This window comes from Homo sapiens, chromosome 1 (assembly GCF_000001405.40).
Source record: "Homo sapiens chromosome 1, GRCh38.p14 Primary Assembly".
In the NCBI taxonomy this organism is placed as follows: Eukaryota; Metazoa; Chordata; class Mammalia; order Primates; family Hominidae; genus Homo; species Homo sapiens.
In genome coordinates, this window is record NC_000001.11 from 180,873,731 (window position 1) to 180,890,973 (window position 17,243).

Below are 17,243 nucleotides of genomic sequence, written 5' to 3' on the forward strand. Positions count from 1 at the left end.
ATATGCTCATTGGTATGCCTATTTATGAGAAATGTGATAGAAAACATACTCAATTTCTTTATTATTTCTCAGGCCTACTACTACTGTGCCATAATAGAGGATGTGATTCTGCGCTTTGCTTGGACTATCCAAATCTCGATTACCTCTACAACTTTGTTGCCTCATTCTGGGGACATCATTGCTACTGTCTTTGCCCCACTTGAGGTTTTCCGGTAAGCAAACTACTGAAAAGTTTATTAAAGATTCTTTTTAACCTAAAAGACACCCAATACTTACAAATTAGAATTTATTATAACTTGTACTTGAAAACCTTTAATTTTCCAACTTTTCTCAAATTTCTCCTCAGCCTTAGAATTGGAAAACCATGTTGGCCAGGCTGATCTCGAACTCTTGACCTCAGTTGATCCACCCACCTCGGCCTCCCAAAGTGCTGGGATTACAGGCGTGAGCTACTGTGCCCGGCCCAGAGGTTAATTCTTACAAAGTTAAAATAACCATTGATGATGACTTAAAAGCTTCTTTAGAACGGGGTTCCATTGAAAGGATAAGTGGAAATTGGGAGGTAAAATGGCTTAAAACAGAAATCAATCATTTTTTGCAATTTGGCAGTCTGAGTTATTCAGCCCAGCCTTCTCACTGAAAACAATAAAAATGCTAGATAAAATGTGTTTAAATCTGGCCAGGTGCACTGGCTCACTCCTGTAATCCCAACACTTTGGGAGGCCGAGGCCGGTGGATCACCTGAGGTCAGGAGTTCAAGACCAACCTGGCCAACATGGTGAAACGCTGTCTCTGCTAAAAATACAAAAATTAGCTGGGCATGGTGGTGGGCACCTGTAATCCCAGCTACTCGGGAGGCTGAGGCAGGAGAATCGCTTGAATCCAGGAGGCAGAGGTTGCAGTGAGCCAAGACTGCACTGTTGCACTCCAACCTGGGCAACAAGAGCAAAACTCCGTCTCAAAAAAAAAAGTGTTTAAATATTCTAAAAAAAAATCAGACAAGATAATCCAAAATCTAAATGAAAACAGGAGCCCCAAGATAAACAGAGCACTAACACTACCTTTGCACTATAGAAATTTGCCAAATCTGTAGACTTTGAAATTCACTTGTGACTGCCAATTAAAATTTGTATGCACCTAATAAAATGCCTTAAAATTTTGTAAAGCAAAAGCTGGCGTTGCTACAAGTAAATTTACAATTTCAGATTTTAACATATTTCCTTCAGTGATAGATAAATAACGGGTCAGTTAATTAATTAAACCTGAATGACATACGTAGAGAACTGCATCCAACTACTAAATACATATTCTTTTAAATACATGTAGAACATTTACCAAAATTAACCTTACACTGTGCCATAAAGGAAGTCTCAACAAATTGCAGGGATTATAATCACAAAAAGATAACTCAAAAGTCCCAAATGTTTAGAAATTAAGCAGTACATGTCTGATAACCCCAGGTCAAAATTGTAATGCAAATTTTAAAATATTTTGAGTAGCCAGGCATGATGGTTTATGCCTGTAATCCCAGCATTTTGGAAGGCCAAAGTGGGCAGATCACTTGAACTCAGGGGTTTGACACTGGCCTGGGCAACATGGCAAAACACATCTCTACAAAAAATACAAAAATTAGCTGGGCATGGTGGTGCGCGCCTGTAGTCCCAGGTACTCAGGAGGCTGAGGTGTAAGGGTCACTTGAGCCTGGGAGGCAGAGGTTGCAGTGAGTCAAGATCATGCCACTGCACTCCAGCCTGGGTGACAGAGCAAGACTCCGTCTCAAAAAAAAAAAAAAAAAAAATTTTTTTTTGAACAGAATGTAATTGAAAATGTGATAAAAGAGAAAAATGTAAAATGCAGCTAGGGCCATGCTTACAAGGAAATGTGTAACTTTACATGTATATATCAGAAAAGTATATAGCTCAGGAAATAAGAAAGATTTAAAAAACAGCAAATCCCAAAAGAAAGTAGAAGTAAATATAAAGAACGTAAATTAATGGAACAGAAAACAAACACACAATACAGAAAATTATTAATGATAAAGCCAAACTTAATTTCCTTAAAATGCCAAATACTGTTGATAAAGTACTTAAGACTGATAAAGCAAAAAAGAAAAGGAAGTACAAATTATGAATATCAAAAAACCTAAAGACATTTATTTAAAGAGTAAGACTATCTTATGAGCAACTTTATATCAATAAATTTAAAAATTTAGATGAATGGACAAATTACTGAAAAAGCAGTGTGCCAAAACCAATAAAGAAGAAATAGAAAATCTGTATTAAAGAAATTAAATTCATGTTAAAATACTTTGCACAAAGAAAACGCCAGGCCCAGGAATTCTTTCAAATATTTGAGGAAGAAATATTAACCAATTTTATACAAAACTCTTCCAGAAAAAAAAAGAGCATAAAAGGAAACACTTTCTAGTTTGTTCTCTGCAGCCAGCATAACTTTGATATATAAGCCTACAATGACATTTTAATAAAAACTAATCTGTCTCATGTACACAGTTGTAAAAATCCTGAATGAAATATTAGCATATGAATTCAACAATATATAAAAAGGGTAATACAAGTTAGGTTCGTTCTAGGAATGTAAGATTTAACATTCAAAAATCAATCAGGGCCAGGCACGGTGGTTCACACCTGTAATCCCAGCACTTTGGGAGGCTGAGGTGAGTGGATCATTTGAGGTCAGGAGTTCAAGACCAGCCTGGCCAACATGGTGAAACCCCATCTCTACTAAAAATAGAAAAATTAGCCGGGAGTAGTGGCGCATGCCTGTAGTCCCAGCTACTCAGGAGGCTGAGTTGGGAGAATTGCTTGAACCCAGGAGGAAGAGGTTGCAGTGAGCCAAGATTGCACCACTGTACTGCAGCCTGGGCAACAGAGGGAGACCCTGTCTCAAAAAAAAAAAAAGAAAGAAACCTGTCTCACTTATATTAACAGAATAAAGGGGGAAAAAGAACCTCTATATTTGTAGAAAAGGCCATTGATAAAAGTCAATACCTGTTCATGAAAAAAATGTTTTCTACAAAAACACAATCAAGAACATATTTAACAGTGAAACACTATAAACTTTCCCTTGAAATCAGGAATGAGACAAGTGTGTCTGCTGTTCCCACTTTTATTTAATATCATCAAAGTATAGCTAGCGCAATGAGGAAAAAGAACTATCATAATTGGAAAGGAAAAAATAAAACTATAATTATTCACTGATGACAGTTACACAGAAAATTCAAAATAGTTTACAAATAATTAGATCTAATGTCACAGTTCTGAATACATGGTCAACATAATATAAATCAGTCATTTTTAAAAACAGTCATAACAACTAGAAAAAGAACATTTTAAAAACCATATCATTTTGAATAGCATCAGAATATATCAGATATATACCTAGGAATAGGTTTAATTAAAGCTGTGTAGACGTGAGAAAATCGACAAGCCAGTTCTGTAATTTATATGGGAATATGAAAGGTCAAGAATGGCCAAGACTATCCTGAAAAGAACAAAGTTAAAAGACTTATACTGTCAGATATCAAAATTGATTATATAGTTACAGTGAGTAAGACAGTATATGGTGTTGGTGAAAGGATAGACAATCCACTGGAACAGAATAGGGAGTACAGAAAGAAATCCACTCGTGCATACCTTGATACTTCTTGATTTATGACAAAGGTGGCTACATAACAGTGGAAAAAGAGGGCCTTTAATAAATGATATTGAGTCAACTGGATATCCATATGGAAAAAAATGGTTCCCAGCTCCTACTGTATACTGTGTGTGAAATCAATTCCAGGTGGATTGTAGAACTAAGTATGAAGAGTAAATCAATGAACTCTCTGGAAGTTAACATAGGAAAGAACCCTAAAGGTGGTTTTCAGTGTATGGTAATGTATTTCATATTTCTGGATGGTAATTACACAGTGAGTCCCTTTATGATAATTAAGCTGTACATTTTTTATTTGCATACTTTATGTGTGATATACTTCTGTTGAAATGCTTATCTTAAAAAAAAAAGGCAAATTAGCCAAGAGAAAGAAGGACTAACTTTCAACAGCAACAGTGAAAGTCAGAAATTATTAAAATGAAATCTTTAATGTGCTGAAAGAAAATAACTGCTTACCTAGACTCTGCCCAGTGTAGATATCTTTCACAAATAAGACGATATAAAGATATTTTCAGATAGGTGTATAACATTCGTCTAAGTCAAGATCGACAAACACTGCCTGTTAAAATAAGACAGAAGCTGGAAACGGAAGATAAACCTGAGAGAGAAAGCATGACTCTGGAATCCACCTGCCATCAGAGCTCTCTCCAGACCAGTGCTCCTTCCCTTCCTCACCTTCCTGAATGCCTCGGCCTGGCACCTGAACTCCCCATCGCTGCTGCCACCTTCCCCCACCCACTTCTTTCTCTTTCATGTGTGCTACTTCATCAATTTTTTAAAAGAAATTCTAGTAAAAAAAGAAAAATACCTCATGACGATTTTCTTTTTAAAATCATTTGCTTACTAACTAAATCAAATGTTCTATCCCATTTAAAACAAACAAAAAAACCATCTTTAGATCAGCTTTCTCTCTCCAACTACTGCCCATCTTTCTGCTGTCCTTTATAGCAAAACTCTTCAAGAGGCGTCTGCACTTGCTGTCTCCACTCTCACTTCTCTCCCATTCTCTTTTTCATTCAAGTATGTATTCCCAATACTCAAACTAAACCACTTTTGTTAATAATCTATAATAATAATATTGTAGTGCCTACTATGTAGCTGACAGCGTTCTAAGCCTTTTACCTTTATTAAATCCTCACAACAATCTTAGGAAGTAGGTGCTGTTATCATGTCTTTTACTGATGACACTGAAGCATAGGTTAAGTAACTCATCCAAGGTCATTACAGCTAGCAAGTGGTAGAGCCATGATTTGAATCTAGACAGTCTCCCAGAGCCTGTGCTTTTAGATCGTACTGCCCATTTTGCTAAATCCCCTTGTCAGTTCTCTGTACTTATTTACCTTACTTTACTTCCCAGCAAAGCACTTTCTTCACTTGACTTCTCAGAAACTACAGTCTCCTGTCTCACTAGCTATTCCTTGTCCACTCCTTTACTGGTTCTTCCTCCTCCCCCCAAACTTTTAAGTGTTAGAGTGTTCCAGGATTTAATCTTCTGCCCTCTTGTCTCCTCTAGTTGTATTATTCCTAAACCTATTATGTGAAATACTGTCTTTATGCTATCTCCAGCCATAAACTTTCCCTTGAACTGCAGACTCTCGTCCACCTCTCTACTGAATTCTCCCATATCTAATGATTAGCTCTAACCTAACAGGAACAGCCCTGCATCTCTGATCTTAGTAAATGGTGTCACCTTTCCCTTAGACCAAAAACCCTAAGACGACTCACATCGCATGTCAGTAAGTCCTGTCAGCTCCATCTTTATAAATAAATCCTTTGTCTGTCTGCTTCTCATCACTTCTGTTATTACCACCTTTAAGTCACCATCATCTCTTTTCTGGACTGCTGCAACAGCCCTTCTAATTGGTCTGTCTTCAGCTGTTCTTGTCTCCCTTTGATCTCTTCACCATTCAGCAGGACCTTTTTCAAACAAATCACTTCATTCTCCTGTTGTTCTCTCATTGTTCTCCATTAGACCTAAAATTTAAACTATGGGTTATAAGGCCCTCTGTGGGTGGGCCCTCTTCCACCCCTCCATCATTATCTCCTGCTATTTTAACCTCACTTATTCTTAGCCCCCACTGACCTTGCTGTTGTTTCCAACTTGCCTTTTTATACTTGCCATTTTCCTCTGCCTGGGATGCTTTCCTCCAGGATTTTTACATGACTTGCTTCTTTGTATCAGTCAGGTTTTCAATAGCTGCCATGTCTTCAAAGAAGCTTTCCCTAACCAGTCTTAATGATGGCATACTCTATTCCCTTGTCCTGCTTTATTTTCTTCACAGTAGTTATCATTAGCCGATTGATTGTTTACTTGCTCATTGTCTGTCTCCACCACTAGAAATTACACCCCATAAGGGCAAAAAGGCTTTGAGTCATTCTGTGCCTTTACTGCCTTATGGCAGACATTCAGTAAATATTTGTCAAATAAGTTGAAAGAATGAGCACTCTAAAACTGCATTGCATAAGTCCCTCCCTTTTTCATAGTCTAGTCTTGTTTCCCTTACCCCCCCACCACCACCTCCCCGCAACACCATCTTTCCCTATTTTAATATTCAAGCCCTTAATTCTTTGTTTTTGTTTCCATGAGTGGAAACTTGATACACTGGGAGGTTTACAGGTAGCAGAAGTATGTTACAATTTCATAAGTACTTTGATCTACCCCATTTTGCTAAGGCGATTTGTGTGGAACTTCTTCCGCCTGGAGAATGAACATCTGAATAACTGTGGTGAATTCCGTGCTGTGCGGGACATCTCTGTGGCCCCCCTGAACGCAGATGATCAGACTCTCCTAGAACAGATGATGGACCAGGATGATGGGGTACGAAACCGCCAGAAGAATCGGTCATGGAAGTACAACCAGAGCATATCCCTGCGCCGGCCTCGCCTCGCTTCTCAGTATGTATGGCTTCTACTTCTGTGAGGCATATTTCCTTTGAGTTTTAGCATTGGGTAGCATGTAAGCTAAAAAGCTATCAGGTTGAACCAAATGAAATTGCCAATACTCAGCCATTTTTCACCTACAAAAAAACAGTAATAAGCAGCAATTCCATATGATACAACCTATGACTGTCTAAATGAGCACATAGAGTAAATGTCATCAGTGCATAACCTAGTAATTTGGCACTAAAGATCCACTGTCTGGAGGAAAAGGTTGTTGGAGAGTGATTTATTAATACTTGACTCTTCTGTGTGTTGTGTATGCAAATAATTTTTATGTTATAAACTTTAGGAATCCTGCCATCTATGCCTTGACCAAATGACTTAATTTCTGTTTTCTGCCCCCATCTGTAAATTGAAATTAATATGGTTCTTGCTTATAGGGAGGTTAAGTGGATTATATTCATTATTACATAGAACTTGGACCAGTTCCCTCACAGAAAGAGCCTACTAAGAATAAACTATTACTATTTTTATCTTCTTATTAAATACCTACAACAATATTTTTATCAGTCATTGACTACGTATGTTGCTAAAAGTTACCATAAATGTACAGTATATGGTGACTGCATATGAAATTTAGAGACAATAGATAGCACAGTAGATTGGAATGAAGGAGGCTTAGGTTGAGGATGAACGGTTTTCTAAAGGATAAGGGAGTGAATAGACTAGAGACACAGTAAAGAACATAAAGGTAGAAATGAAGTGCAGAAAGAAAAACCATGTGACTAGAATTATAGTAAGAATAATTTTGCTGAATAGATGAAGTATGATTGTAAAAGGCTGAAAATGCAAACTTGATCTTGTAGGCAGGAATGAGTCACAGATAATTTTTTTTTTTTGAGATGGAGTCTCGCTCTGTTGCCCAGGCTGGAGTGCAGTGGTGCAATCTCCACTCACTGCAAGCTGCACCTCCTGGGTTCACGCCATTCTCCTGCCTCAGCCTCCCGAGTAGCTGGGACTACAGGCGTCCGCTACCACACGCAGCTAATTTTTTGTGTTTTTGGTAGAGATGGGGTTTCACCATGTTAGCCAGGATGGTCTCGATCTCCTGACCTCGTGATCCGCCCGCATTGGCCTCCCAAAGTGCTGGCATTACAGGCATGAGCCACCGCACCCAGCCACGAGTCACAGAGAATTTTTCTGTAGAAGAATGACATTGTGAAAGTAGTATCCTAGGAAGTTTTAATAGCACTGTGTAAGATATATTAGGCAAGGGAAAAACTGAAGGCCAGAAAGCCAGATGAAAAGCTATGCAGTACTTCAATGTATGGGGCAGTGAAAATTCAGATCAGGATGCTTACTGTTGGACCAGAAGGAACATAAGGAGATGTTTTGAAGGAAGTAAGAAACAGGAGGTAGTATCAGTAACTCATTGGATATAGAGGAGTAGAGTAGAACCTGCTGAACTTTAAATAGAGATTTGGAAGTTCTCTGAAGAAGGCAGAGAAAAGCAGAGAGCAGGGAACTGAGTCTTAATCCCTGGCTCAACCATAGTAGCCAGGGAACAAACACAGACAAGAGAAAAAAAGAAAATAAACAAAAGAGGTAGGAATAGTCAGGGAGGTAATAGGAAGAGCATCAAAACAAAGCATGGTTGGTGCTGTGATCCCAAGGAAGCAGAGTTTGAAGAAGCTGGGGCAGGGGAGCACTGAGTGGGTCAGTGAGATAAGTGCCACAAAGGGCTGGAAGAAAATGCTAAGTGTGATTGGTGACCTCATTGAGCTCCTGATTTTGAAGTCTAATTATCCTTGTTAGTTACCAGCAGAGGGCAATCTAAACATATACTATTTCTGCTTAAAGAAGGGGCTCTTTGGCAATAGATTATTCTGTTCCATTTCAGGTGTTTAACGGAGAAACTCTGGGAAACCAGATTGCACCAAGAGTAAGACATTAGGAATGGAACAGTTGGTGTACAGCGGAGAGAGCAGGGAATCCAAAATAAGATCTGAGTTTCAGTACTGACTTTATCACTCATGCAACCTTTAGCATATCCTTAATGTGTGTGGTTTTTTTGTTTGTTTGTTTTTTTGAAACAGTATCTCGCTCCGTTGCCCAGGTTGGCTCAATGCAGCAGCACGATCATGACTCACTGCAGCTTCAACCTCCTGGGTTCAAGCACTCCTCCCACCTCAGCCTCCCAAGTAGTTGGCACTACACGCCTGCACCCCTCTGCCCAGCTAATTTTTTATTTTTTATAGAGACAGGGTCTTACTATGTTGCCCAGGCTAGTCTCAAACTCCTAGCCTGAAGAAGTCTTCCCTCCTTGGCCTCCCAAAGTGCTGGGATTACAGGCAAGAGCCACCACACTCAGCCACCTGATTTTATTGTTGGTATTTATAGTGGTAAATGGTTTATGTTGGGCTGAAATGTGCTTCACTGTAATTTCACTATAACTTTAACAATTTGATCCTATTTGGGCTCTCTCACATAACTTATAATGAGTCTCCTCCCTCTTCTGCATTGTATGTTGTCAACTCTTTGAAGAGAAATAACTGTTATGCCTCTCCTTAGGTCTTCTCTTCTGCTGGCTAACTCTTTTGGTTTCTCATGTATGCCTCAAGTGGTGTTTTATCTTATCCTCATCATCCTTATCACAATTTCTTATATTTGTTTTTTGGGGGTTGGTTGTTTTTTTTTGGAGACATGGTCTCAGTCTGTCACCTAGGCTGGAGTGCAGTGGTGTGATCATACCTTACTGCAGCCTTGAACTCCTGGGCTGAAATGATCCTCCTTCCTCAGCTTCCTGAGTAGCTGGGGCTACAGGTTTGCACTATCATACCTGGCTTTTTTTTTTTTTTTTTTTTTTTAAGACAGGGTCTCACTGTGATGCTCAGACTGGTCTCAAACTGCCGGGCTAAGGCGATCCTCTTATGTCAGCCTCCCAAGGAGCTGGGATTACAGGAACCAGCCAGTTTCTTAAGTTTGTTTAATGCTTTTTTCATCCATGTTCTCACTTGATATGCATACTGTCTCCATGAGGTGAAAGTGGTATTCAGTGAAATCGGTGTTACCATTCCTGCCTTACAGAGATGGAAACGGGCACTCAAAGGGTTAAATAGATGCATCATAAAATCAAAGTCAGGTGGCCAGGTGCAGTGACTCACACCTGTAAACCTAACACTTTGGGAGGCCAAGGCGGGCAGATTACCTGAGGTCAGGAGTTTGAGACCAGCCTGGCCAACATGGTGAAAGCCCATCTCTACTAAAAATACAAAACTTCGCCAAGCGTGGTGGCACATGCCTGTAATCCCAGCTACTCAGGAGGCTGAGGCAGGAGAATTGCTTGAGCCTGGGAAACGGAGGTTGCAGTGAGCTGAGATTATGCCACTGCACTCCAGCCTGGCGACAGAGCGAGACTCTGTCTCAAAAAAAAAAAAAAAAATCAAAGTCAGTACTCAAACCCAGATCACTACCTTCTGCGTTGCACATACCCTGCCATTGTTCTTGTTACCTTCCTCTGGTTGTGATCTAGTTTCTTAGTGTTTTTCCAATAGTATCTGAAATTGAATAGGAAACTCTAGAATAATCCGTCTGGTACAGCAGATAGTCCCTGTTTAGGATGTATGTTTAATGATGGTAAGACTGGAAATGTGTCTAATACTGTGAAAGTGTTTATATTTGGGTAATGGACTAAGTGCTTTTTGTCCCCCTTGTTACCACTAGATCCAAGGCTCGTGACACTAAGGTATTGATAGAAGACACAGATGATGAAGCTAACACTTGAATTTTCTGAAGTCTAGCTTAACATCTTTGGTTTTCCTACTCTACAATCCTTTCCTCGACCAACGCAACCTCTAGTACCTTTCCAGCCGAAAACAGGAGAAAACACATAACACATTTTCCGAGCTCTTCCGGATCGGATCCTATGGACTCCAAACAAGCTCACTGTGTTTCTTTTCTTTTCTTCTGGTTTAATTTTAATTTTCTATTTTCAAAACAAATATTTACTTCATTTGCCAATCAGAGGATGTTTTAAGAAACAAAACATAGTATCTTATGGATTGTTTACAATCACAAGGACATAGATACCTATCAGGATGAAGAACAGGCATTGCAAGGACCCTCTGATGGGACGGTACTGAGATATCTCGGCTTCCGCTCAGCCCGGTTTTGACTGGTTGAAACCGGACATTGGTTTTTAAATTTTTTGTCAGTTTATGTGGAGAATTTTTTTCTTTCCTTCATACCCAGCGCAAAGGCACTGGCCGCACTTGCAGGAAAAGTGCAACTTAAAGCAGTACCTTCATTCATGAAGCTACTTTTTAATTTGATGTAACTTTTCTTATTTTGGGAAGGGTTGCTGGGTGGGTGGGAAATATGATGTATTTGTTACACATAGTTTTCTCATTATTTATGAAACTTAACCATACAGAATGATATAACTCCTGTGCAATGAAGGTGATAACAGTAAAAGAAGGCAGGGGAAACTTACGTTGGATGACATTTATGAGGGTCAGTCCCACATACCTCTTTCAGGAGACAACTTGCACCAGTTTGACCTTTTCTTTTCTTTGTTTTTATTTTAAGCCAAAGTTTCATTGCTAACTTCTTAAGTTGCTGCTGCTTTAGAGTCCTGAGCATATCTCTCATAACAAGGAATCCCACACTTCACACCACCGGCTGAATTTCATGGAAGAGGTTCTGATAATTTTTTTAACTTTTTAAGGAACAGATGTGGAATACACTGGCCCATATTTCAACCTTAACAGCTGAAGCTATGCCTTATTATGCATCCACATGTATGGTCCCTGTAGCGTGACCTTTACTAGCTCTGAATCAGAAGACAGAGCTATTTCAGAGGCTCTGTGTGCCCTCACTAGATAGTTTTTCTTCTGGGTTCAACCACTTTAGCCAGAATTTGATCAAATTAAAAGTCTGTCATGGGGAAACTATATTTTTGAGCACATGGAACAAATTATACTTCCTCATTCATATTATGTTGATACAAAAGACCTTGGCAGCCATTTCTCCCAGCAGTTTTAAAGGATGAACATTGGATTTCATGCCATCCCATAGAAAACCTGTTTTAAAATTTTAGGGATCTTTACTTGGTCATACATGAAAAGTACACTGCTTAGAAATTATAGACTATTATGATCTGTCCACAGTGCCCATTGTCACTTCTTTGTCTCATTTCTTCCCTTTGTTCCTTAGTCATCCAAATAAGCCTGAAAACCATAAGAGATATTACTTTATTGAATATGGTTGGCATTAAATTTAGCATTTCATTATCTAACAAAATTAATATAAATTCCAGGACATGGTAAAATGTGTTTTAATAACCCCCAGACCCAAATGAAAATTTCAAAGTCAATACCAGCAGATTCATGAAAGTAAATTTAGTCCTATAATTTTCAGCTTAATTATAAACAAAGGAACAAATAAGTGGAAGGGCAGCTATTACCATTCGCTTAGTCAAAACATTCGGTTACTGCCCTTTAATACACTCCTATCATCAGCACTTCCACCATGTATTACAAGTCTTGACCCATCCCTGTCGTAACTCCAGTAAAAGTTACTGTTACTAGAAAATTTTTATCAATTAACTGACAAATAGTTTCTTTTTAAAGTAGTTTCTTCCATCTTTATTCTGACTAGCTTCCAAAATGTGTTCCCTTTTTGAATCGAGGTTTTTTTGTTTTGTTTTGTTTTCTGAAAAAATCATACAACTTTGTGCTTCTATTGCTTTTTTGTGTTTTGTTAAGCATGTCCCTTGGCCCAAATGGAAGAGGAAATGTTTAATTAATGCTTTTTAGTTTAAATAAATTGAATCATTTATAATAATCAGTGTTAACAATTTAGTGACCCTTGGTAGGTTAAAGGTTGCATTATTTATACTTGAGATTTTTTTCCCCTAACTATTCTGTTTTTTGTACTTTAAAACTATGGGGGAAATATCACTGGTCTGTCAAGAAACAGCAGTAATTATTACTGAGTTAAATTGAAAAGTCCAGTGGACCAGGCATTTCTTATATAAATAAAATTGGTGGTACTAATGTGTATCCAGAGACATTTGAATTATTAACTTTATTCTTTATTAGTGAATCTCTATGATGGCACACATAAAATCTTACAGTTGACTTCTGCTGTTTGAATTCCCCAGTGTTTTTACATTAATGTATCCTATGGCCAGTTTAGTCTTTCTTCAACTGTTACAGTTCTAGGCCCTAATCGGTCTTATTCTTTCACATATGATGCAATGATAGATGTAATCCTTTTCTGAAGTGTTTGTCGGATTGGCATAGTCTATTCAAAAATAAGGCTTATGTAACTTTCAGCTTGCTATGTGACAGAAGTTTAAATGTGTATTTAAGTACACAGCTTTATGTTCCTCTTAAAGCTGTAAAGAGAAAAGAGGACTTTTCCTCATCAAGAGAGCTTGGGAGACAAAGCATACATTTAATTTTTTTCTTTCAAAAAAGGCAATGTGCACTTTCCTCTCCTAAATTTTATATGCCCTAGCAGTTGCGAATGTTGTGTCCACCTTACAATTTGATTGGAGGCTCCCATACACTGAAACTCTCAATAGAATTCTTAAAAATGAACATCAGCTGGGCGCAGTGGCTCACGTCTGTAATCCCAGCACTTTGGGAGGCCAAGGTGGGCAGATCACGAGCTCAGGAGTTCGAGACCAGCCTGACCAACATGGTGAAACCCCGTCTCTACTAAAAATACAAAAATTAGCTGGGCGTGGTGGCGCATGCCTGTAATCCCAGCTACTCAGGAGACTGAGGCAGGAGAATTGCTTAAACCTGGGAAGCAGAGGTTGCAGTGAGACTAGATCATGCCACTGCACTCCACTGCCACTGCCTGGGCAACAGAGCAAGACTCCATCTCAAAAACAAACAAAAAAAATCACAGACTCATTTTAAAGGAGCAGCAACCTAACCAAATACAAACTTCATTTGATTTTAGGTTTAGAAATTCTAGTTTTATTTTGGAGAATCACTCAGTTTTTAATATCAATTAAAATAGTCCTCAAAGGAATGAAGAGGAAGTCTAAATAAATGAATAAAACTCATTTTTCATTTTATGGTAGTATAGAAAGCATTGATGTGTGTAGAGAAATTAAAAGACAAGAGTGGTTTACTGTCTATGCACAAATGAGTGCCTATATTTAAGGCTGCCTATACCATTACAGTGGCGTAATTGGTGATTTCATAGCATACAGAGAAACAATGAAATCAAAGATTAAATCATTAGGTTATGATGGTCATTTGTAAGATTGGAAAGTAGTCAAAAACCCATGTGCAACTTTTTTTCAGCACTCTACCATTAGGCTCCTTAGGCAAGCTGCTTAACTTCCGTCAGAAGCAAAGGTGTGGGAGAACACCATTCACCTCAGTAGTAACTTATAAAAACCGTTTAAAGAAGGAAAATGGGCCCCAGCCCCTAGGATCCCTGACTTCCTGATATTCTAAACATGAGAGTTCTGTGACTTTAACTGAGCTCTTTACCAGAAGTAACGTGTTGATGTATATTATCTTTCCACCATGCTTTGACCAAAGTACATTCACAGTAACTAGAGAAAGCAGATCATCCATTTCTGGATAGGTGAACTACGGCAAGGTAAGAACAGAAAAAAGTAAAGTAGTATTGAGTCATGCAGGTATCAGATTAACAGACATTCATTGAAGATAAGTGAAATAACTTTGGAGATAGCAGAGAAGAGCAAGAAGATGTTGGACGTTGGCAGTAAGCCGCAGCAAGGCAGTTAGGAAAGTACGTGAGCCTGATGACGCGAAGGTGATGCCTCCATCTGTCCGCTTAGTGGTTATTAAATTGCTGGGAAAGACCTGCCTTTATTTTCCTATCATCTTTTCCCCATTACTTTGCATTATTCAGGAAATAATTATTTATTCCCAAATGCAGTTTTCTAAGCAGTGACCACAAAAATTTCTTATTCTAAGGAAAATAATTAAGAAAATAACCCTATCTGTGGCATTGTTTTAAAATGTGGGATACAAATCTGGTAAGCAGATTTCAGGTCATTATTGTTTTCTTTTAATGGTTTACATGAAATTTTCCTCTCAAAAAACAAGTACCTCTTACTGTATAACATTTGAGTTTTTAAAATTGAGATAGCTTCTGAGAGAAAAAAAGAAAGTTGAATTTGTAGCTCTCTCAACTACAAAATCACCACACTTTTCTCAAATCTAATAGGAATTCAGTGTCATTACAGATACGGTCTCTAGTGACCAGGTGAAGACAATTGAAGCTTTGGTAGAACTTCTGCAAAAGTTAGGTAAAGAAGAATAAATCCAATTTATCAGCTTTGTTCATATTCTTTTTCTGAGTGATCTAAATTTTTCTTGCTTGTGATCATTAGCTAAGACAAGGAGTGTTAAAGGTTTTCTAAATGCAAACACATACGTTTCTGCATTTCAGAAGTCAGTCTTGATAGTAAATCCTACAAACTCTCAACTTTCTGCATTGTATTTTAAGTCTATACAATGTTAGAGCACATGGTAATGTGGGACAGAGTTGATTATATGATAGCATGAGAAATTTGCACTGGTTGGTGTTACAAACCAATGATCTAACCAGCATACTCTCCAAATATGAAAAAGTAAAAACATCTCATTAGGTTTGGAAGAGCCTAAGGTAGTCCATACAGGAAGTTTGCCTGAGAACAGAGAGGAGCCTGTTGATTGGCATGGCTCATGATGCCTTTCTTGTATGAATTATCAAAACTGATACTGAGTTGCCCCTAGAAAACAGCCTTCCAGAATATGTTTGCTTATTTATGGTGGAAGAGGAAGTGAGAACAAGATGAGAGTTTCCCTTAAAGTGAGGAGAATCATTATACAACTTTGCAACTGAAGTATGTTTCCTTGTAGCAAACCTTTGGTTTATTTTATCGTCAAATCAAAGCCACCCTCAGTTTTTTGTATGGTGCCATCAACCTAAGGAGGACAATCAAATAACCTATTGTTTGCCTTGGATTCAGTATATCTACTAAGTACACAGTCTCGTATACCTTCAAACCAGTTACTTGACTAAACTTCCACCATATTACCTTAGTTCTTCCTATGCCCTTTCCTCTGTGCCACCACAAATCAGAGGGAAAGACTGCAGTACTTCTAGAAAGTTGTGGACTTCTAAGAAAGAGCCAGGCTTCCATCTCACTATCCCTTGATCATTATCTCTGAAGTCCCTACCTGCACTTCCCTGATTGCCCTGTAGCAACACCAGCATGGTGGGAATTGGAGGGAAAGATTGTGGAAAATCCCTAAAGGGTCATTGTTCATGACGTTATTTTGAATTGTAAAATTGTGAGCCACTCACATTTCAATTACAAAAAGAACAGAACTCTTAATCACGTTGTGAAGATTAATTTCTTGCCATTTTCTGGATTAGCACAGAAGCTTGTATCAATGAAGAGTATTTAGGAGGGGAATAGGGGGAAAATTGTATTTTTCTGTTCAAACTCTCTCCTTCTATTTGTGTTTCCTTCACCCCTCTCCCTCCACCACACTGTGTTGGTCAAATGATACTATTCTATGAAACCCTGAGCTATAGTTGTCAAAAGTAACTATGGATTGTGATTAGTCCTCTGTGGGTGCTTCCTTCCCTCTTTTTTCTCCCTCACTCTCTTTCTCAGTCTCCACTCTGGTAAATGGAAAAGGTGATGTCGAAGAATTGATGCTTGCTTGGACTCATGTTGTATCTGTGACTATGCTATTAGCTGTCTCCTTTTTCCTTCCTATATGGGTAGAATTCTTATGACTTATGAAGTTCCCTTCTTGATAAGTAGGTTAAATGCACAATGTGGTACTGTTTTATAGTTTCTAGATGGTTGTATAAAGCAAAAAGTTAATGTGGTTATGTGTTTTTAAAGAAAATAAGTGATTGGTCACTAAACTCTGTCCTTTTTTCATTATTACAATTTCTCTCTGTTTTCCAACAGTTTGCTGACTCCTTTGTCACTGGTGAATGGTTTGTGTGACTGTTTTTCTCTCTTGGTTTCTTGAATTCCTGAACATAGTTCCCCTTAGGACTAATTTTCATATGGGGTTAGGGCAAACAGACTACAGTGGTGAAATTTTTAAACTATCCTACTAAGTTAAAAGAAGTTTAAATGGCTTTTATCTTCAGGTAATATGTGAGGTGTGACTCTAAAGCAATGGGATTGTTGTAACAAATCTTTCTTTTACTCGCACAAAGAATCTCAAATATTACAAATATGAGGTGAAATGATGTGTCCAATTACATTTTGGAGAGGTGGACACTGCTATCACTGCATACCCATGCCCTGTGAGGGAACATAGGACTTTTCTGCAGAATTCCTGGACTAATTATTATTCCTTATATATATCTAGGAAAGATTACAAAATTAACTGACCCTAAGATGAATATACCCACAATGCAAAGGGAAAAATAATTTATTGACTAAAGCATCAAAGCCTTTCATCTTACTTTGGTGCCACAAACTCTGTTATTACTATATTTCTGTGTAGGCTAAATCAGAATATGATAATATGGAGTTTCCAGGCCAAAGTCAAAGATAGGATATGAATATATAAGAATCACTAGATACTCAACACCACTTTTACAATTTGATAATACATACTCAACATTTGTATGCCTATAGTATTTTATATTTTTCCAAATATGTAGCATCTCAGAAA

At 38.2% G+C, this 17,243-nt stretch overlaps 1 protein-coding gene across 3 annotated transcripts in view; it reads left to right on the forward strand.

Moving 5' to 3' along the window:
• XPR1 (xenotropic and polytropic retrovirus receptor 1) overlaps nucleotides 1-16,549 on the forward strand; it is a 258,258-nt gene extending 241,709 nt beyond the window's left edge. For all 3 annotated transcript variants that reach the window (NR_137330.2, NM_004736.4, NM_001135669.2), the window contains 3 exons: nucleotides 73-212; nucleotides 6,346-6,567; nucleotides 10,276-16,549. Coding sequence is in view for 2 of the 3 variants with exons in the window: in NM_004736.4 (NP_004727.2) it covers nucleotides 73-212; nucleotides 6,346-6,567; nucleotides 10,276-10,336 (423 nt within the window). In the remaining variant the exon portion in view is untranslated. The remainder of the gene's footprint in view (nucleotides 1-72; nucleotides 213-6,345; nucleotides 6,568-10,275) is intronic.